Source organism: Homo sapiens, chromosome 11, assembly GCF_000001405.40.
Source record: "Homo sapiens chromosome 11, GRCh38.p14 Primary Assembly".
In the NCBI taxonomy this organism is placed as follows: domain Eukaryota; kingdom Metazoa; phylum Chordata; class Mammalia; order Primates; family Hominidae; genus Homo; species Homo sapiens.
The window spans coordinates 67471179-67491333 of record NC_000011.10 but is presented as its reverse complement, the minus strand read 5'-3'; the positions used below and the strand labels follow the sequence as shown (position 1 = coordinate 67491333).

Genomic DNA, 20155 nt, shown 5'->3' with positions numbered 1-20155 from the left:
CCCTTAAGACTGTGGGCTCCTGGGGCGCCCCAGCCCTGGCCAGCGAGAGACACTTCCTTGGTGAAAGAGCTCATCGTAATTTCTCTAACAGGGACACCAGAGCCTCAGAGCTGGTGGGTGGAGGGGCTAGGATTTGAACCCTGATTCTTTGCCTCCCAACAGCCACCCAAGTACCAGGAATGCCAGGTGATGACCCGGCTCTCCCAGTGGAGCAGCTCAGCAGACTCAGAGAGAGATAAATAAAGGCCTTTATATACACAGAAGCATGACGCAGCACGGGCAGGGGGGCTGGCAGCTGCAGCAGTGGGCTTGGCAGGTAAGGCAGGGCCAAGTGCTCCTGTCAATGGGAGAAGATCCCCCGGAACCGGGCTTTGTCCTCTTCGTCCTTCTGCCGGATCCGTGCCTCCAGGGCCCGCAGCTCTCGGCTCACCACAGGCGCCAGGGCTGGGTCCAGCTCCAGCACTTTGGCAAAGTCAGCCTGGGCCTCCTGGGCATTCCACACGGCCGCGTGGGCCTTGCCCCGCTTGAAGTAGGCCTTGACGTTGTCTGCAGGGGAGGCCAGTGGGCAGTGGGCATGCAAGGGCATGAGGGGGGATCCTGGCCAGCTGCCTGCCCTCATGTCTCCTGGCACCATGGGCCCACAGGGGAGAGAGAGCCCTCCCTGACCTGAGGATGCCACCCCACCCCCAATACACCATTCATGCTTCATTGGCACAATGGGGCCCACAGCCCTGCCGAGTAGAGGCATTTAGTCAGGCCCCCGTGGGAGCTCAGAATGGGGGTTGTGAAAGGCTAGGTCTTGACCCCAGCAGTGACAGGAGAAAGGCCACTCTCTGACCACTCGCAGCCCCCGGCAGCCCAGGGCCCGGTGCTCACCGTCGTACTTGTTGAGGATGGAAGAGCAGTGGTCCAGCACCTCGTAGTACTCCTCGACCACCAGCTTGCACTGGCAGTAGTTGAGCAGCAGCGGCGTGATCTGCTGGTCCAGCTGGATCCATTCAGGGGACCCAGGCTGTTCCTGGGAGTATGGGGGCAGGGAGCGGGGAGAAGCTGTAGACCTGGGCCCCCTGGCTCCACACCCCCCTCCATCCATCCTCCCCCTCAGCCTCCAGGCAGTACCTTCATCTGCAGGTTCTTGAGGCAGGCAATGGCATCGTAGTACTTGGCAGCAGCCTCCTTCACATGCCCCTCGCGGTACAACCGGTTGCCCTCCTGGTGGATAAGTGGCACTGCCTTTGCCTTCTCTTCGTCTGTCATGGCCCATGGGTCCTGCTGGTACGTGCCAGGGCTCTCCACCTGCAGGGCATGGGGCATATCACAGCGGGGCTCGGGGACACCACAGCTGCGTCCGTCAGCAGCAGACCTGACCCACATCTGGGCTGGCTGGGCCCCCAGACATCACACACCAGCAGCAGAGCTACTTGTCACTCAAAAAGCATCAAACATCGATGTCACATCTCCTGTGTGCCCAGCACTGTGCCAAGTGCTAAGAATAGAACAGTGAACAAGACGGTGAAAAGCCCTGCCCTCGCAGAGATCATGCTGCATGGCAGGTTCCCTAAATGGACAAGGAAATCCATGAATTCCAAGGGACTTCAAGGTGCGGCAGAGGCTATAAAGGAAATGAGCTGCTGCGAGACAGAGAATGAGGAGACCGGGTGGGCAGGGCCGGTTTCCTGGAGGAGGTGACATTTGAGATGTGAAGGAGGAGGAAAGGAGACCCAGGGTACTGCCAAGGGTCCTGCACAGGTTTTCTTGTCTCTGTCCGCTCCCCCAGCAGTCCACCTGCGGATCCCACCACCCCTGGGTGGACAGGCCAGCGCCGCCCTGAGGCTGGGCAGTGGGGGCCTGGTGAGACCAGGCGCGGTGGCCCCTCACCTTCAGCATCTCCATGTGGAAGATGAGGGGCTGGGGGTTCTGCTGCAGGGCGTCCAGGTCAGCATGGCCCAGGGAGCTGTGTTCACGCATCTGTGCAACACCGCAGCAGTGCCGCTGGCCCTCCAGGGGGTCCTTGCCCACCGCGATGTTGCGGAGACTCTTGGCCACCAGCGGGTACAGGACCACATGCTGCGGGAAGGCAAGGGCGCCGGGGGCTCTGTCACCGTGGGCTGGCTGGTCACCGGGTCCACAAGGCCCAGCCCCCTTCCCCACCACCATCTGAGAACAAACACCAAGGCCCAGAGAGTGACAACTGGGACCCTACTCCGTTTAAGCACAGGAGGCTTTTAATTCAGGACTCCTCCAGTCGCTCAGCCCTCTCTCCTGGTGAAGCCCCAGCTTCTGCCACATTCTCTGGCCACCAAACAGAGCACCTAACCCCCTCCTCACCCCCACCACAGACACATGCCTACCATCAACCCCTGTCTCCCTGGTCCTTACAGGCCCAGTAGAATTCTTACCTCCTCTCCCTCCAGAGGATAAGGCCCTTTGCTGGACTATGCAAAGAACTGGGGCCCCCCACATTCTGTTCCCAGCAGCTCCTCCTTCTGCCCCACCCACACCCCACTGAGGGCCTACCTCAGAGCTGGGCCCAGGCCAGCCACTTCAAAACCCTCAGGGAGGCCGGATGTGGTGGCTCACGCCTGTAATCCTAGCACTTCGGGAGGCCAAGGCGGGCGGATCACCTGAGGTCAGGAGTTCAAGACCAGCCTGACCAACATGGTGAAACCGCGTCTCTGCTAAAATACAAAAATGAGCCGGGCACGATGGCAGGTGCCTGTAATCCCAGCTACTCAGGCAGCTAAGGCAGAGAATCAGCTGAACCCAGGAGATGGTGGTTGCAGTGAGCCAAGATCACGCCACTGCACTCCAGCCTGGGCAACAGAGTGAGACTTAGTCAAAAAAAAAAAAACCCCACAGGGAGACAGGCATAGGGGACCTAGCCTCTAATCTCTTGCTTGGCAAAGCTGCTAGGCTGGTGGGAACCAGATAACCAGATTCCTCCTACCCGGGTCCTCCCCACTCCTCCCACTGCCCTGTTGTCTGGACAGGGGCTGACTGCCGGGCTGCCATCAGCGGGCATTTCCTGAGTCTTGGCTCTGGACTGGCTCGCGCTGGGCATCCCAAAGCTAGAAGTAAACAGGCCAGATCCCTGCTCTGCAATAGCCTAGGACAAGGCAGAAGAGCAGATCCTGGCCATGCAGGGCATGAGGGTTGGAGGACCCAAACATGGGAGTTGAGCCAACCACTAGCAGTCAGGGAGGGCTTCCTAGAGGTGGTGACCCAGGAATAAGCTTTGAAGGAAGAGGGAAGATCTTGGCTAAGAAGGGGAATGGAAAGGAAAAGCAGGGAGGTTGAGTAAGAGGGTGAGACGGCAGGGGCCAGCCCCCAAAAAGCTATGTGAGCAGCTATAGCTTATACGGTTTAAGTCCTCACTTAACGTCCTAAGTAGGTTCTTGGAAACTGTGACTGTAGGCGAAACAATACATAACGAAACCAATTTTTCTTCTCATCAATGTTCTAACAAAATTTTGCTGAGAGAAATGACGGTGGCTGAGAAAAAACCTGATGTATGTTTTTTCTCTTAGTCACAGTTTCCAAGAATGTATCAGCAACATGAAGTGAGGACCCCCTGTGCTCTATCCTTACAGTGACCAGGAGTCATAGAGGTTTGAAACAAAGGGATGTACAGGTCATTTGCATTTGAGAACGAGTCCCCTGGCCTCAGTCTGGCTAATAGGGGAAGGCGGAATGGAGGCCAGGACGCCATCAGCAGGCTGGTGTGGTGGTCTGGAAAGAGTGGGTGGGCCGGGCGCGGTGGCACACGCCTATAATCCCAGCACTTTGGGAGGCCAAGGCGGGTGGATCACCTGAGGTCAGGTGTTCAAGACCAGCCTGGCCAACATGGTGAAACCCTGTCTCTACTAAAAATACAAAAATTAGCCAGGCATCATGGCGGGTGTTTGTAATCCCAGCTACTCGGGAGGCTGAGGCAGAAGAATCGCTTGAACCCAGGAGGTGGAGGGTGCAGTGAGCTGAGATCGTACCACTGCACTCCAGCCTGGGCGACAGAGCAAGACTCCATCTCAAAAAAAAAAAGAAAGCGGGTGGCAGTCTAGCAGAGGGTGGAGGGAGGAGGAGCCCTGGGGATAGGGAATAGGAATAGGGCTTGGCTGGACAGCCACCGCAGACAGGTACAGGACAGACACCTTGATGTCACAGAGGAACTGGGCAATCTCCCCTTCTCGCATGGTGCACACGATGGTCTCCCACACAGGCAGCTTGAACTTCTTGCCAATGATGAGCTCCATGGGCTTGCCACGAGCCCGGCTGTCGTCCAGCACGGTGCCCTCGTCGTCACTGTGCAGCGTCCGGTAGTGGAACGTGGCCTGTGGGCCACATGCGAGGTCAGGCAAAGGCACAAACCCTCACCCTGACCCCCAAGGAGAAGTCCAGTCCCCGGCCTGCAGACGGCATAAGGGACGGGGCTTCCCCGGGGACACCACCTGACCTTACACCTGGCTTCATCCTCCCACGCTGGTGAGAAAACAAAGCCACAAGGAGGGGAGGAATAGGCCCAAGCCACACGGCTAGTGGGTGGCTGAGTGGGAACAAGAGTCCAAGCAGTCTGACTCCAGTCATTCCTCAACAGATATTTACTAAGCACCTACTATGTGCCCAAGCTCTGTGCTAGACACCAGAACATGGCAGCAAGCAAAACACAAAAAAGTCCCTGCCCCCCTGGAGCTCACATGGCGCTTCTAGAGGGAGGAGATGGGCATCAAACAAAACAATATGTCATGGCAGGTGAAGCCACGTGCTTGGGAAACAGCAGGGCAAGAGGGTTGGGGCTGGATTAAACAGAGTGGGGGGTTGGGGAGTAAGGAAGAAAGCAAGCCAAGTGGACCCTGGGATAGGAACTTTCTAGGCCAAAAGAACAGCATGTGTAAAAAAGCCTTGCAGTGGGACAATGTGATATGGAAGTGCTGGGAAGGGAGGAGCATGGTCCTGTTAAATAATTTGGAAGGGGAGAAGGGAAGTGCTGGGTAGAGGAGGGCGTGGTCCCTGGGTAGGGTTCCACCCCCACAGACCTAGGTGAGAACAGGCATTTCCTGCCCAAATGTTGCATTTCCCAAGACCACCCTGGCCTGCCACACCCCTATCCTGTGCCTATAAAAACCCAACACCCCTAGGGGGTAGACCCACAGGCAGCCAGATGTCAGAGGAGCCCATCAGCAGAAGACGAGCTCCTGGTCATTGAGAGGATGTCAGGGGAGCAAGAAGCAGAAGATCACACTGACAGGCACCTGCACGCTGGCAGGTCATCAACTGGCAGGAAGAGGCGGAGTTTGGCTGGGGCAGTCAGAGGAGAGGTGGGGCCACCAAGTGGCCCAACCCCAGGGGAAGACCATCTCCAAGGCGGGTGGATCACCTGAGGTCAGGAGTTCAAGACCAGCCTGGCCAATGTGGCAAAACCCCGTCTCTACTAAAAATACAAAAATTAGCTGGCCATGATGGCGGGTGCCTGTAATCCCAGCTACTTGGGAGGCTGAGGCAGGAGAATCACTTGAACCCAGAAGGTGGAGGTTGCAGTGAACCGAGATCATGCCACTGCACTCCAGCTTGGGCAATAGAGCAAGACTCCGTCTCAAAAAAAAAAAAAAAAAAAAAGGCGTTTGAAACCAGCTTGGCCAACATGGTAAAAGCCCATCTCTACTAAAAACATTTTTAAAAATTAGCCGGGCCTGGTGTCAGGCACATGTAATCTCAGCTACTTGGGAGGCTGAGGCAGGAGAATTGCTTGAACCTGGGAGGCAGAGATTGTGCCATTGCACTCCAGCCTGGGCAACAAGAGTGAAACTCCATCTCAGAAAAAAAAAATAAAATAAAAAATAAAAAAAAATTTGCAATCATTCTCCAAGCCCACAAGTGATCTAATTCTCCAGTACTCCAGTACATCAAGGCAAGAAAACCCCAGACTACAGAAAGCCCTCTGTCCTTGTGATAAGGAAGGGGGTCTAATTGAGCTGGTTAACACAAGCCTCCCATAGACAAACTAAAAGAGCACCCTAGAACACACGGAGCTGTAAATATTCACCCCTAGACACTGCCATGAGGTCGGAGCCCACAGCCTGCCCATCTGTATGCTCCCCCAGAGGTCTGAGCAGCGGGGCACTGAAGAAGCGAGCCACTCCCCCATCGCACGCCCTGCGAGGGAGACAAGGGAACTTCCCGTTTCAAATGCATGATGTGTTCAAGAGCAGCAATGCCAGTGTGGCAGAGCAGAGTGAAGGAGGGGGTGGGGTACACCACAGGGTCAGCAGGGGAGCTCACCCAGGTCAGTAGGGGTGGACCTCACAGGGCCTGTAGGCTATGGTGAGGCCTCTGTTTTTCACTCTGTGATGGAAGCCACTGAGTGGCTCCGAGCAAAAAAGGAATTGAATCTGGCATGGGCTCGGCTGCTGGGACGAGAACAGACCACAGAGGGACAAAAGAGGCAGGAGAGTTAGAGGTCGCTGCAGTAACCCAGGCTGGAGATGAGGATGGCCTGGACCCAAGCAGTGATGGCAGAAGTGGTGAGAACTCAGATCCTGGCTGGATATTGAGGATGTGATGTTGGATGTGAGACTGGGAGGACCACAGAGATGCTAAGGTTTTTGCCCTGAACAACGGGAAGGTTGTTGGTTCCCCTGACACGGAGAAGCCTCAGGTGGAGCAGGTTAAGTGTGAGTTGCCAACCAGGCTTCCAGGTGGATATGGTGAGTAGGGAGCTATATATCAGGTTTAAGAGACAGTTAATGACTGGAGAGCTGCATCTGGGAGTAATCCGGGCAGGGAGAGTTTTTAGAGATAACACTGGGGGTGGGTGCAGAGAAAAGAGGTTTGGAGATTGAACTCTCGACAGGATATGGTTAGAGGAGCCCACGCTCTTAACTGCCGCACCATGCTGCATCTCTGAAGTCAGTTTCCACATCGGTAAAACGGAATCAACAACAGTACCTATCTCACATTGTAGGAAATAAACGTGTGAAGCATGTAGCACAATGTTCGAATAGTGAGCACTCAATCAGTGCTGGCGATTGGTTATTTAACACCACCTGTTTCTGATCTTGGGGTGCCATTGTTCACATCTCTCCTTCTGATGTCTGTTCCATCCAGGATCCCCCTTGCCAGCCCCTTCTTCCAACGCCACCAACCCCCCAGCACATGGGGGCATGAACCCACACCACACATCCTGTCTCTTCTTAGAGAAGATATCTTTTCATACAGCGGATCACTCCAGCCATGCAGCTCCCCTCTGCTCTCAGGGCACTTATACTGCACTGGGCTAGGATGCTTAGCTGCCCGATTCGGCACGGTGCTGGCCAGGGGGCATGTGCTCATTTGCTCAATGTGCATGTCCTGCCTGACTGCTCTGCTGGGCACAGGGGCTGCCCCTGGGAGGTTCCCTACTCTGCAAACAAGTGGCAGCTGGGAAAAGCACTCCGGGAGGAGGCAACTACAGGAGAAGCAGGGAAGCCTGGAGTTGTAGGTTGGGGGAGAAGCGGGCAGAGGGGCTGGATCTGGGGGCCTGGCAAAAAGGAGAAAAGTGGGAGGTTCTTTACTTCCCAACCCTCATCTGTCCCAACAAGCCCCTAGTGCAGCAGGAAGGCTGCTAAAGAGTCCCTGTCTGGGAGACCTGACCTCTGGGCCCGTTCTCCGGCTTTGCACGTCCCAGGGTCTTGGTTTTCCACTCTAAACAGCGGCAGTTGGTCTAAGTGTTTTCAGAAGGCCCTTCCATCTACAAAGGATCATGAGCCTTGAAACCCAGATACCCGAGGACCACTCCCGGCCCTGGGTTTCCTCCAGCGTGGGGTCTGCCCAAGCACTGAGATCAACCCCCAACCCCAACCCGCTTGTGATGACTGACGGCCTCCCCCACCAATGCTGCTACAAGGCCGAGCCAGGGGGCGGGGCAGACAGGCCCGAATTCACCCCCTACTTAAATTCAGCCCAATCAGCGTCGAGTTCTGCATGTGAGCGGTAGGGGCAGTGGACGCTGCCCTCTGGGCATGCGCAACCTCTCGCCTAAGGCCTCCTCCCGCCTCGCATGCGCACCACGCCGCAGAGGGGGAGAAGGGTAGGGTAGACACGAACCTTGGTCCCATCTTGAAAGTCCGGGAGCTCTCCTCGGCCTTCCTGTATCACACGTTTTTGGATCCCGTCCTCCCGGAGTCTTGCGATGATATCCGCCATCCTCCTTCCCCGCTGCTCCCTTTCGGCAACTTCCGGACTCGCTCGGTAGCTTCCGGACTTGCTTCGGCAACTCCTAGCACCTCGGCAGCTTCCGAGCTAGCGCCATTTTGGTTGAGGGCAGAAGCCAAAAGGGACTGAGCGTGGAAACGGATGGTGATTGGTTCTCTGCGCTGGGGCTGAGCGCGCGCGTCTGCTCGGGGGCGGAGCCTAGGAATGTCTCGGGGCTGGACCCCAGCCTGTCAAGGAGGAAGGGCCGGGGTCCGCGGGCCGGGCGGGACGAGGACGTCCCTAACAATTGTCATTGAATTGATTGGGACTGCGGCCGTGTGGCACTTTGTTTGAAGTTGTGGATGGAATATAACAGCACTGCAGAGTTAGGAAAATGAAAAAAAAAAAAAACACCCGTAAGCCACACCCTCAAAGTGTTATGATTTTTGTGTATTTTCTTCCGGCTTTTTCTCTTTCGCATATCTAGTATGATTGTCGGGACTCTTGCATCCTGGATCTTCCTCTTTCAAAAAATAAAAAGAGGAAGAGGGAAAGAAAGGTGGAGAAGGAGACCAAGAGAGCCCATTGCGGGGTCGGAAATGAGTCATAGTTGTGCCCAATTAATATTAGGGAATAATCGATGAATGATAGAAATGAGGTACTTTAGCGCCGGGCGCGGTGGCCCTGTAACCCCACCACTTTGGGAGGCCGAGGCGAGAGGATCGCTTGAGCCCAGGAGTTCGAGGCTGCAGTGGGCCGTGTTCGTGCCACTGCACTCCAGGCTAGCCGACAGAGCGAGATGCTGTCTCAAAACAAAACAAAAAAAAAAAATTAAATTAAAAGAAAAGAGAAATGAGGTACTTTGGGGCTAAAACAACTTTTGTTTTTCTTTTTTTGAGACGGAGTCTCGCTCTGTCACCCACGCTGGAGTGCAGTGGCACAATTTCAGCTCACTGCAAGCTCTGCCTCCCGGGTTCACGCCATTCTCCTGCCTCAGCCTCCCGAGCAGCTGGGACTACAGGCGCCCGCCACCATGCCCGGCTAATTTTTTGTATTTTTAGTAGAGACAGGGTTTCACCGTGTTAGCCAGGATGGTCTCAATCTCCGGACCTCGTGATCCGCCCACCTCGGCCTCCCAAAGTGCTGGGATTACAGGCGTGAGCCACAGCGCCCAGCTGATATGAAACATTCTAAATAAAATACTAGGCTAATTGAATTCACTAATGTCATGTAAAAATGCATCAGTATGGGGCAGGTGTGGTGGCTTATGCCTCTAATACCAGCACTTTGGGAGGCCAAGGCAAGTGGATCTCCTGGATCTCCTTGAGCTCACAAGTTCAAGACCAGCCTGGACAACATGGCAAAATACCATCTTCACCAAAAATACAAAAAATTAGGTGGTGTGGTGGTGCACGCCTGTGGTCCCAGCTACTCAGCAGGCTGAGGCTGGAGGATTGCTTGAGCCCAGGAGATGGAGGTTGTAGTGAGCCAAGATCGCACCACTGCACTCCAGCCTGGGTGATAGAGTGAGACCCCATCTCAAAAAAAAAAAAAAAGCATCAATATGCTAAGTGAAATAACAGTACCAGTCACATACAGGAAAATACTGTATTATTCTACTTATGTAAGGTACCTAGAGTAGTCAGATTCACAAAGACAGAAAGCAGGGCCGGGCGCGGTGGCTCACACCTGTAATCCCAGCACTTTTGGAGGCCAAGGCAGGCAGATCACCTGAGGTCAGGAGTTTGAGACCAGCCTGGCCAACATGGAGAAACCCCATCTCTACGAAAAATACAAAAATTAGCTGGGTATGGTGGCACGTGCCTGTAATCCCAGCTACTCGGGAGGCTAAGGCAGGAGAATCGCTTGAACCCAGGAGGCAGAAGTTGCATTGAACCAAGATCGCGCCACTGCACTCCAGCCTGGGCGACAGAGCAAGACTCCATCTCAAAAAAAAAAAAAAATGACAGCAGAATGGTGATTGCCAAGGGCTGGGGGCAGGGGGGTGGGAAATGGAGACTTGTTCTTTGATGAGTGTAGAATTTCTGTTTTGAAAGACGAAACTGTTCTGGAAATTGGTTGCATAACAGTGTGCATATACTTAACGCCACTGAGTATACACTTCAAAACGGTTGAGATGGTAAATTTTATGTTATGTTATGTGTATTTTACCACAATTAAGAATAATTTTTTTGCCGGGCGTGGTGGCTCACGCCTGTAATCCCGGCTCTTTGGGAGGCTGAGGCAGGTGGATCACCTCAGGTCAGAAGTTCAAGACCAGCCTGGTCAACATGGTGAAACCCCGTCTCTACTAAATATACAAAAATTGGCCAGGCGTGGTGGCGGGCACCTATAATCCCAGCTACTCAGGAGGCTGAGGCAGGAGAATCGCTTGAACCCGGGAGGCAGAGGTTGCAGTGAGCCGAGATTGCACCATTGCACTCCAGCCTGGGCAACAAGAGCGAAACTTCATTCCAAAAAAAAAAAAGAATAATTTTTTTTTCCGGGCTGGCACGGTGGCTCACGCCTGTAATCCCAGCACTTTGGGAGGCCGAGGCGGGCAGATCACGAGGTCAAGAGATCAAGACCAGCCTGACCAACATGGTGAAACCCCGTCTCTACTAAAAATATAAAAATTAGCCAGGCGTGGTGGCAGGCGCCTGTAATCCCAGCTACTCAGGGAGACTGAGGCAGGAGAATCGCTTGAACCCAGGAGGTGGAGGTTACAGTGAGCCGAGATCACACCACTGCACTCCAGCCTGATGACAGATCGAGACTGTCTCAAAAAAAAAAAAAAGAATTTTTTTTCCAAAGAAAATGCATGAAGATCAAGTAGAGTTTATTCCAAGAATGTAAGAATGGTTCAACATTATAAACATCTATTACTGTAATTCACCACGTCGGTTAACTAAAGGAGAAAATGCATATGGTTATCTCAAAATATGCAGAAAAAGCATTTTATGAACTTCTGTGACTATTTATGATAAAAACTCACAGTTAGGAACAAAGAGGAATTTTCTCAGGTTGATAAAAGCTGCATACAATTAAGTATGATGGAATAAGTATCCACAATTTCTTCAAGATCAGGAACAAGGCAATGATGCTCTCTAGGAATGATGCTGATCAGTAAGTGTTAGAAGTCCTGCCTAGAATCCCAGCACTTTGGGAGGCTGAGGCAGGAGGATAGCTTGAGCCCATGAGTAACAACTTGGGCAAGATAGCAAGACCCAGTCTTTACAAAAAGAAAAAAAGAAAGAAAATTAGCTGGGCATAGTGGCACATGCCTGTAGTCCCAGCTACTAAAGAGGCTGAGGCAGGATGATCCCTTGAGCCCAGGAGATCGAGGCTGCAGTGAGCTATGATCTCACCACTGCACTCCAGCCTGCACAACAGAGCAAGACCCTATATCCAAAAAAATAAAAGAAATTTAATTTTTTTTAAAAAAAGAAGTCCTGGCCAAAACAATAAGCCAAGAAAAAGAAACGAGAGTAAACTGTCATTGTTGGCAGATTATATCGGTATAGAAAATCCAACATAATCTATAGACTGCTTTAACAAATTAGAAGGCCAGGCATGGTGGCTCATGCCTATAATCCCAACAATTTTAGAAGTCAAGGCAGGAGGATTACTCGAGGCCAGGAGTTCGAGAGCAGCCTGAGCAACATAGCAAGACCCTGTCTCTACAAATAAATCAAAAAATGTAGTTGGGCATGGTACCACGCGCTTGTGGTTCTAACTACTTGGGAGGCAGGAGGATCCCTTGAGCCCATGAGGCTGAGGCTGCAGTGAGCCATGATCAGACCACTGCACTCCACCCTGGGCGACAGAGTGAGACCCTATCTCAAAAACGGAAACAAAAAACCCAGAGTTCAGCAATGTTACAGGGATAAAATAAAAAAAAAAAAAAAGCGGCCGGGCGCAGCGGCTCACACCTGTAATCCCAGCAGTTTAAGAGGCTGAGGTGGGCGGGTCACCTGAGGTCAGGAGTTCAAGACCAGCCTGGCCAACATCGTGGAACCCCCGTGTCTACTAAAAATACAAAAATTAGCTGGGTGTGGTGGCGGGTGCCTGTAATCCCAGCTACTCGGGAGGCTGAGACAGGAGAATCGCTTGAACCCAGGAGGCGGAGGTTGCAGTAAGCCGAGGTTGTGCCACTGCACTCCAGCCTGGGCAAGAAAGAGCGAAACTCCGTCTCCAAAAAAAAAAAAGCTAACAAAAATTAATAGTACTCTTCACACCAGCAATAAGCAACTGAAAAGTATAATAGAATATAAAGGGCCAGGCATGGTAGCTGACACCTGTAATCCCAGCACTTCGGGAGGCTGAGGCAGGCAGATCACTTGAGGTCAGGAGTTCAAGACCAGCTTGGCCAACATGGTGGAACCCCATCTCTACTAAAAATACAAAAATTAGCCAGGCATGGTGGCACATGCCTGTAATCCCAGCTACTCGGGAGGCTGAGGCAGGAGAATAGCTTGAACCTGGAAGGCGGAGGCTGCAGTGAGCCATAATCACACCACTTCACTCCAGCCTGGACGACGGAGACTCCAACTCAAAGAGAAAAAAAAGGGAGAGACTAAAGTATCATTCACAACAGCAATAAAACCCATGAAGTAGGAAATACAAACACAACTCAGAACTTTTTGAAGAAAAACAAATTTTTTTTTTTTTTTTTTTTTTTGAGATGGAGGCTTGCTCTGTCGCCAGGCTGGAATGCAGTGGCGCGATCTCAGCTCACTGCAACCTCTGCCTCCAGGGTTCAAGTAATTCTCCTGCCTCAGCCTCCCAAGTAGCTTGGACTACAGGTGCCTGCCAACATTCCCAGCTAATTTTTGTATTTTTAGTAGAGACAGGGTTTCACCATGTTGACTAGGGTGGTCTCGAACTCCTGACCTCAGGTGATCCGCCTGCCTCGGCCTCCCAAAGTGCTGGGATTACAGGCATGAGTCACTGTGCCCAGCCTGAAAAACAAGATTTTATAACACAAAAGAAGATCTCAATAACTGAAGAGACGTATCTTGTTAATAAATAGAACAACTCAACACAAAGATGTGATTGCTTCTGAAATTAATCTAGAAATTCAATGAAATCCAAATAGAAATCAGGAGAATTTTTTCGCCCGGCCAGCCACCCCATCCGGGAGGTGAGGGGCACCTCTGCCCGGCCGCCCCTCCTGGGAAGTGAGGAGCCCCTCTGCCCGGCCACCACCCCGTCTGGGAGGTGTACCCAACGGCTCATTGAGAACGGGCCATGATGACAATGGCGGTTTTGTGGAATAGAAAGGGGGGAAAGGTGGGGAAAAGATTGAGAAATCGGATGGTAGCTGTGTCTGTGTAGAAACAAGTAGACATGGGAGACTTTTCATTTTGTTCTGTACTAAGAAAAATTCTTCTGCCTTGGGATCCTGTTGATCTGTGACCTTACCCCCAACCCTGTGCTCTCTGAAACATGTGCTGTGTCCACTCAGGGTTAAATGGATTAAGGGCGGTGCAAGATGTGCTTTGTTAAACAGATGCTTGAAGGCAGCATGCTCGTTAAGAGTCATCACCACTCCCTAATCTCAAGTACCCAGGGACACAAACACTGCGGAAGTCCGCAGGGTCCTCTGCCTAGGAAAACCAGAGACCTTTGTTCACTTGTTTATCTGCTGACCTTCCCTCCACTACTGTCCTATGACCCTGCCAAATCCCCTTCTGCGAGAAACACCAAGAATGATCAATTAAAAAAAAAAAGAAAAAAAGAAATTGGGAGGATTTTTTAAGAACTCGGAAAACATTTTTGTAACATTTCTATAAAAAATAAAGGTCCATGAAAAGCTAAGTCAAGTTTGAACAAGATGACCAAGGAGAAGGGGCTTGGTCTCTTGCATTAAACCACACCGAAAACCGTACAGACAAGGATAAGATACTGGTGAGAATTAGTGAAGTGGGTCAAAGTGTGTCCGGAATTGGTGGGTTCTTGGTCTCACTGACTTCAAGAATGAAACTGCAGACCCTCGCAGTGAGTATTACAGTTCTTAAAGGAGGCGTGTCCGGAGTTTGTTCCTTCTTATTTTCGGATGTTTTCGGAGTTTCTTCCTTCTGGTGGGTTCAGGGTCTCGCTAGCTTCAGGAGTGAAGCTGCAGACCTTCGCGGTCAGTGTTACAGCTCACAAACGCAGTGTTGACCCAAAGTATGAGCAGCAGCAAGAGCTATTGCAAAGAGCAAAAGAATAAAGCTTCCACAGTGTGCAAAACAACCCGAGCCAGTTGCCACCGATAGCTCGGGCAGCCTGCTTTTATTCTCTTATCTAGCCCCACCCACATCCTGCTGATTGGGCCACTTTACAGAGAGCCAATTGATCCATTTTCCAGAGAGCTGATTGGTCCGTTTTGACAGGGTGCTGATTGGTGCGTTTACAATCCCTGAGCTAGACAAAAAAGTTCTCCACGTCCCCACTAGATTAGCTAGATACAGAGTATCCACACAAAGGTTCTCCAAGTCCCCACCAGAGCAGCTGGATACAGAGTGTTGACTGGTGCATTCACAAACCCTGAGCTAGACACAGGGTGCTGATTGGTGTGTTTACAAACCTTGAGCTAGATACAGAGTGCCCATTGGTGTATTTACAATCCCTTAGCTAGACGTAAAGGTTCTCCAAGTCCCCACCAGACTCAGGAGCTCTGTTGGCTTCACCCAGTGGATCGCGCACCGTGGCTGCAGGTGGAGCTGCCTGCCAGTCCCGCACCGTGCGCCCGCACTCCTCAGCCCTTGGGTGGTCGATGGGACTGGGCGCCCTGGAGCAGGGGGCGTCGCTCGTCGCGGAGGCTCAGGCTGCGCAGGAGCCCACGGCGGGGCTGTGGGGAGGCTCAGGCATGGCGGGCTGCAGGTCCCCGAGCCCTGCCCCGCGGGGAGGCAGCTAAGGCCCAGCGAGAAGTCGAGCACAGCAGCTGCTGGCCCAGGTGCTAAGCCCCTCACTGCCCAGGGCCGGCGGGCGGGCCGGCCGCTCGGAGTGCGGGGCCTGCCGAGCCCACGCCCACCCGGAACTCGCGCTGGCCCGCAAGCACCGCGCGCGGCCCCGGTTCCCGCCCGCGCTTCTCCCTCCAGACCTCCCCGCAAGCTGAGGGAGCCAGCTCTGGCCTTGGCCAGCCCAGAAAGGGGCTCCCACAGTGCAGCGGCGGGCTGAAGGGCTCCTCAAGCGCAGCCAGAGTGGGCACCAAGGCCGAGGAGGCGCCGAGAGCGAGCAAGGGCTGTGAGGGCTGCCAGCAGGCTGTCACCTCTCAAAAGGAACCAAAAAGAGAGCTTAGAACATACATATGTGTAGGCAGCTCTACAACTGCTGTATGATAAAGATGGCACCACAGTCCAGAGGGAAAAAGAACTGGTTGTTTGGAGCGGCCAGTGGTAGTGGCTCACACCTAATCCCAGTACTTTGGGAGGCCGGGGCAGGCAGATCACATGAGGTCAGGAGTGCAAGACCAGCCTGGCCAACATGGTGAAACCCCGTCTGTACTAAAAATATAAAAATTGGCCGGGCGCAGTGGCTCACACCTGTAATCCCAGCACTTTGGGAGGCAGAGGCGGGCGGATCACGAGCTCAGGAGATCGAGACCATCCTGGCTAACACAGTGAAACCCCGTCTCTACTAAAAATACAAAAAATTAGCCGGGCGTGGTGGCGGGCGCCTGTAGTTGCAGCTACTCTGGAGGCTGAGGCAGGAGAATGGCATGAACCCGGGAGGCGGAGCTTGCAGTAAGCCGAGATTGCGCCACTGCACTCCAGCCTGGGCGACAGAGAGAGACTCCATCTCAAAAAAATATATATATAATATATTATATTATGTATATTATATATATTATCATATATTATATAATATATATTGTATATAATATATATTATATATTTATATATTATATAAATATATATAAATTAGCTGGGCATGGTGGTGGGCACCTGTAATCCCAGCTACTCGAGAGGCTGAGACGGGAGAATCACTTGGACTCAAGAGGCAGAGGTTGCAGTGATCCGAGATCACCCCACTGCCCTCCAGCCTGTGTGGCTGAGCAAGACTCCATCTCAAAAAAAAAAAAAAAAAAACGGGAATCTTGCCCTGTCATCCAGGCTGGAGTGCAGTGGCACAATCTCGGCTCACTGTAACCTCCGCCTTCTGGTTCAAGCGATTCTCCTGCCTCAGCCTCCCGAGTAGCAGGAACCACAGGCACCCACCACCATGCCCTGCTAATTTTTTTGAGACTTTGTCTAAAAAAAAAAAAAAAAACTTGGAACAGAGGCGAATGTACAATAGCTACCCTTGCCCCTCCAGAGGTCACAGTCTATAACCCCATAAGACCCAAGAACAGCAGAAGTAAGTGAGCAATAGGATTAATTTTGGCGGGAATCAGGGCAACAATAGGACTGGTGGCACCCTAGGGTGGCCTTGCTTACCACGAGTCAACCGTAAAGAACTTGACTCAAACCCTAGAATCCTTAGCCACCAACACGGGTCAGGCCTTAAAGGGAATTCAAGAATTTCTAGACTCTTTGGCAAACATAGTTCTCTGTAACAGATTAGCATTAGATTATTTACTAGCTGAACAAGGTGAAGTTTGTGCAGTTATTAATAAAACCTGCTGCACATGTCTTACCAGCTCCAAACAGACTGAGGCTAACATTCGAAAGATCTATGAACAAGCTACTTGGCTACATAGATAGAACCATAGCACCAACCCCAGCAATATCTGGTCAACTATCAAAAATGCCTTCCCGAGTCTCACCTGGTTTTTTACCTCTCCTAGGACCTTTGATAGCCATCTTGTTATTCCTAATTTTTGGCTGTGGTTGTTTAAACTCTTAGTAAGTCTTTGAGATTGCAACAGTTTCAGGTAAACACAATGCTGGCACAAGGCTTCCGACCCATTCATCTACTGACCTGGGTAATGAAAGTATCCTGTCTTTTGGACCCTTAGATCGGGTATCAGGAGATTTTTTTTTTTTTTTTTTTTTTTTTTTTGAGACAGAGTCTCGCTCTGTCACCCAGGCTGGAGTCCAGAGGCGAGATCTTGGCTCGTTGCAACCTCCACCTCCCGGGTTCAAGAGATTCTCTGCCTCAGCCTCCCAAGTAGCTGGGATTACAGGCGTCTGCCACCATGCCCAGCTAATTTTTGTATTTTTAGTAGAGACGGGGTTTCTTTTTTTTGTTCGTTTGTTTTTTGAGACGGAGTCTCGCTCTGTCGCCCAAGCTGGAGTGCAGTGGCGCGATTTCAGCTCACTGCAACCTCCACCTCCCGGGTTCACGCCGTTCTCCTGCCTCAGCCTCCCAAGTAGCTGGGACTACAGGGGCCTGCCACCACGCCCAGCTAATTTTTTGTATTTTTAGTAGAGATGGGGTTTCACTGTGTTAGCCAGGATGGTAGAGACAGGGTTTCACCATGTTGGCCTGGATGGTCTCGACCTCCTGACCTTGTGATCCACCCGCCTCAGCCTCCCACAGTTCTGGGATTACAGGCATGAGCCACTGCACCCGACCGGGTATCTGGAGATTTTTACCTCTCCAGTGCTAGGAAGGGGCTATGCCCATAAACTCAACAGGAAGCAGTTACAGAAGATGGATCTCTGCCCTTCCGCTGCCCTCTTAAGATTAAGAAGGAGTATCTAATCTCTGAGCGAGGAATGAGGTAGGTGGCAGGACTCAGCTCTGGAGGTGGGACACAGACACCAGACCAGATTGAGAACTAGCTAAAACAGGGAATGCTGCGCATGGTGGCTCATGCCTGTAATCCCAGCACTTTGGGAGGGTGAGGCAGGTGGATCACTTGAGGCCAGGAATTTGAGACCAGTTTGGCCAACATGGTAAAACACCATCTCTACTAAAAATACAAAACTTAGCTGGGTGTAGTGGCGGATGCCTGTAATCCCAGCTACTCCGGAGGCTGAGGCAGAGAATCGCTTGAACCCAGGAGGTGGAGGTTGCAGTGAGCCTAGATCGTGCCACTGCACTCCAGCCTGGACAACAGAGGGAGACTCCGTCTCAAAAAAATAAAACAGGGAAGAGGTGAAAGCACCTCTCCATAAGACCTAAGACCCGTAAGACCAGTGCATGTCAGTTTACCATTGCCATGGCAACACCTAGAAGTTACCACCCCCTTCGGTGGCAATGACCTGACGGCCCAGAAGTTACCACTCTTTCCCTAGAAATTTCTGGATAATTCACCCCTCAATTTGCATGTAATTAAAAGTGGGCATAAATATGGCTGCAGAACTGCCTCTGAGCAGCTGCTGGGGGCACACTGCCTGTGGGATGGCCCTGCTCCACAAGGAGCGACGCCTGTGCTGCTGCTGTGCGCTGCTGCTTCTGTAAAAGTTGCTTTCCAATAAGTAAAAAATAAGGCCAGGCACGGTGGCTCACGCCTGTAATCCCAGCACTTTGGGAGGCTGAAGTGGGCAGATCAACTGAGGTCAGAAGATGGAGACCAGCCTGGCCAAAATGGCGAAATCCTGTCTCTACTAAAAATACAAAAATTAGCTGGGCGTGGTGGCAGACGCCTGTAATCCAAGCCACTTGGGAGGCTGAGGCAGAAGAATCGCTTGAACCCAAGAGGCAGAGATTGCAGTGAGCCGAGATCACACCACTGCACTCCAGCCTGGGCGACAGAGCAAGGCTCAGTCTTAAAAAAATAAAAAATTTTAAAAAATGTTTAAGTTGCTGTCTAACACCACCAGCTCACCCTTGAATTCTTTCCCAGGTGAAGCCAAGCACTCTCTTGGGCTAAGCCCCAATTTTGGGGATCACCTGCCCTGCATCAGCCTTGCTACGCTGAGGCTGATCTTGAATTCCTGGCCTCAAGTGATCCTCCTGCCTCAGCTTCCCCAAAGTGCTGGGATTACAGACATGAGCCACTGCACCCAGCCTGAAAAGGAGTGATTATTCTTTGAGAGCATGTTAGACAAAGAGTCAAAGACAGACAGATAGGAAATATGTGCAAGGTCATAAACCAGCAAGGAATTAATGATTAGATATGTTGATATGCAAATTAGTGGAAAAAGGCTAGAAACCCAATAGCAAAAAGAAAGACCAAAGATATGAAAAGCCAGTTCACAGACAAGGGACACCCAATGGCTGACAAGGGCACAAAGAGCAGCTCAAACTCTCCAGCCATCAGAGAACCCAGAGGAACATGAGGTACCACTTTAAATTCATCAGATCGGCAAGCCATTAAAAAGTTGGATGGTACCAAGTCCTGAGAGAACCAGAAGCCTCAGGTGGAGTGTCAACTCTCACAGCCACTCAGGAGAGCATCTGTGGTACCCTGTGAAGTCATGAGTGCGTGTGCCCTATAACCTGGAAATCCTACCCCAAGGGGAATTCTCCCACAGTCCATAAGGGGACAGCAGGAAGATGTTAACTGCAGTGATGCCTGTGATGGCGGGGTTGAGGCCAGTTTGAGTGTACAACACTGTGGAGGTGAGGTGGATCATAAAGGTGCTAGACACTCAACATGGTACAACATGCATGTAGCCTGTAGAAACAATAAACAAATGCATATGGAAAACAGCATCGAGAGCAAAAATGTAAACGTGTAAGTAACAGAACTGAATTTTCTGCATGACATCATGTTTGTAAATTGCAAACACATCCACATAGGAGACAGTGCCATACATGGTACAGAGCCAGGCAGGCTTTAAGGACGCCGACTGAGCATGCTGACATGGGTCTGATGGAAGGCAGGGGAGAGGAAGGAACCTGGGAAGTGAAAGAGGGTAAGTGAATTAACATAACTCGAGAGGGGCCTTATTCATAGTGTTGATGTGTAACAAACAGAAGTAGACTTGACTCAGCTCTGTACATGAGGCCATAAAATGAACATGAGGCCGGGTGTGGTGGCTCATACCCAGCACCTTGGGAGGCCGAGGTGGGCAGATCACGCCTGTAATCCTAGCTACAGGGGAGGCTGAGGCAGGAGAATCGCTTGAACCCAGGGGGCGGAGGTTGCAGCAAGCCGAGATCTTGCCACTGC

At 51.9% G+C, this 20155-nt stretch overlaps 1 protein-coding gene and 1 non-coding gene across 4 annotated transcripts, besides 6 other annotated features; both read right to left on the bottom strand.

Moving 5' to 3' along the window:
- On the bottom strand, positions 231-8308 carry AIP (AHR interacting HSP90 co-chaperone). 3 transcript variants are annotated; one of them, NM_003977.4, is made up of 6 exons: positions 8077-8308; positions 4149-4328; positions 1879-2067; positions 1120-1296; positions 877-1018; positions 231-546 (listed from the first exon to the last, which is right to left on the bottom strand). In NM_003977.4, the coding sequence occupies exons 1-6, from the start codon at positions 8173-8175 to the stop codon at positions 341-343; spliced, it is 993 nt and encodes a 330-aa protein (NP_003968.3). In that variant the 5' UTR covers positions 8176-8308; the 3' UTR covers positions 231-340. The 3 variants fall into 3 exon arrangements, with proteins under 3 accessions (NP_003968.3, NP_001289889.1, NP_001289888.1); NM_001302960.2 differs by having other exon boundaries at positions 885-1018; NM_001302959.2 differs by lacking the exon at positions 8077-8308 and adding an exon at positions 7624-7818.
- MIR6752 (microRNA 6752) lies at positions 1019-1089 on the bottom strand. The gene has a single exon (NR_106810.1). It is a non-coding gene; the product is annotated as a microRNA 6752 (primary transcript).
- Positions 3910-3989: an enhancer, noted in NCBI's record as "active region_5108". NCBI's record gives its function as "activates an Ori minimal core promoter by ATAC-STARR-seq in GM12878 lymphoblastoid cells {active_cell/tissue: GM12878}" and the evidence as "EXISTENCE:reporter gene assay evidence [ECO:0000049][PMID:35858748]".
- Positions 4160-4459: an enhancer, noted in NCBI's record as "active region_5107". NCBI's record gives its function as "activates an Ori minimal core promoter by ATAC-STARR-seq in GM12878 lymphoblastoid cells {active_cell/tissue: GM12878}" and the evidence as "EXISTENCE:reporter gene assay evidence [ECO:0000049][PMID:35858748]".
- Positions 4781-5754: an enhancer, noted in NCBI's record as "H3K4me1 hESC enhancer chr11:67253051-67254024 (GRCh37/hg19 assembly coordinates)". NCBI's record gives its function as "activates a minimal SCP1, AML or CMV promoter by ChIP-STARR-seq in naive H9 embryonic stem cells {active_cell/tissue: H9 hESC(naive)}" and the evidence as "EXISTENCE:reporter gene assay evidence [ECO:0000049][PMID:30033119]".
- Positions 6210-6259: an enhancer, noted in NCBI's record as "active region_5106". NCBI's record gives its function as "activates an Ori minimal core promoter by ATAC-STARR-seq in GM12878 lymphoblastoid cells {active_cell/tissue: GM12878}" and the evidence as "EXISTENCE:reporter gene assay evidence [ECO:0000049][PMID:35858748]".
- Positions 8407-8466: an enhancer, noted in NCBI's record as "active region_5105". NCBI's record gives its function as "activates an Ori minimal core promoter by ATAC-STARR-seq in GM12878 lymphoblastoid cells {active_cell/tissue: GM12878}" and the evidence as "EXISTENCE:reporter gene assay evidence [ECO:0000049][PMID:35858748]".
- Positions 13403-13953: an enhancer, noted in NCBI's record as "NANOG-H3K27ac hESC enhancer chr11:67244852-67245402 (GRCh37/hg19 assembly coordinates)". NCBI's record gives its function as "activates a minimal SCP1, AML or CMV promoter by ChIP-STARR-seq in primed H9 embryonic stem cells {active_cell/tissue: H9 hESC(primed)}" and the evidence as "EXISTENCE:reporter gene assay evidence [ECO:0000049][PMID:30033119]".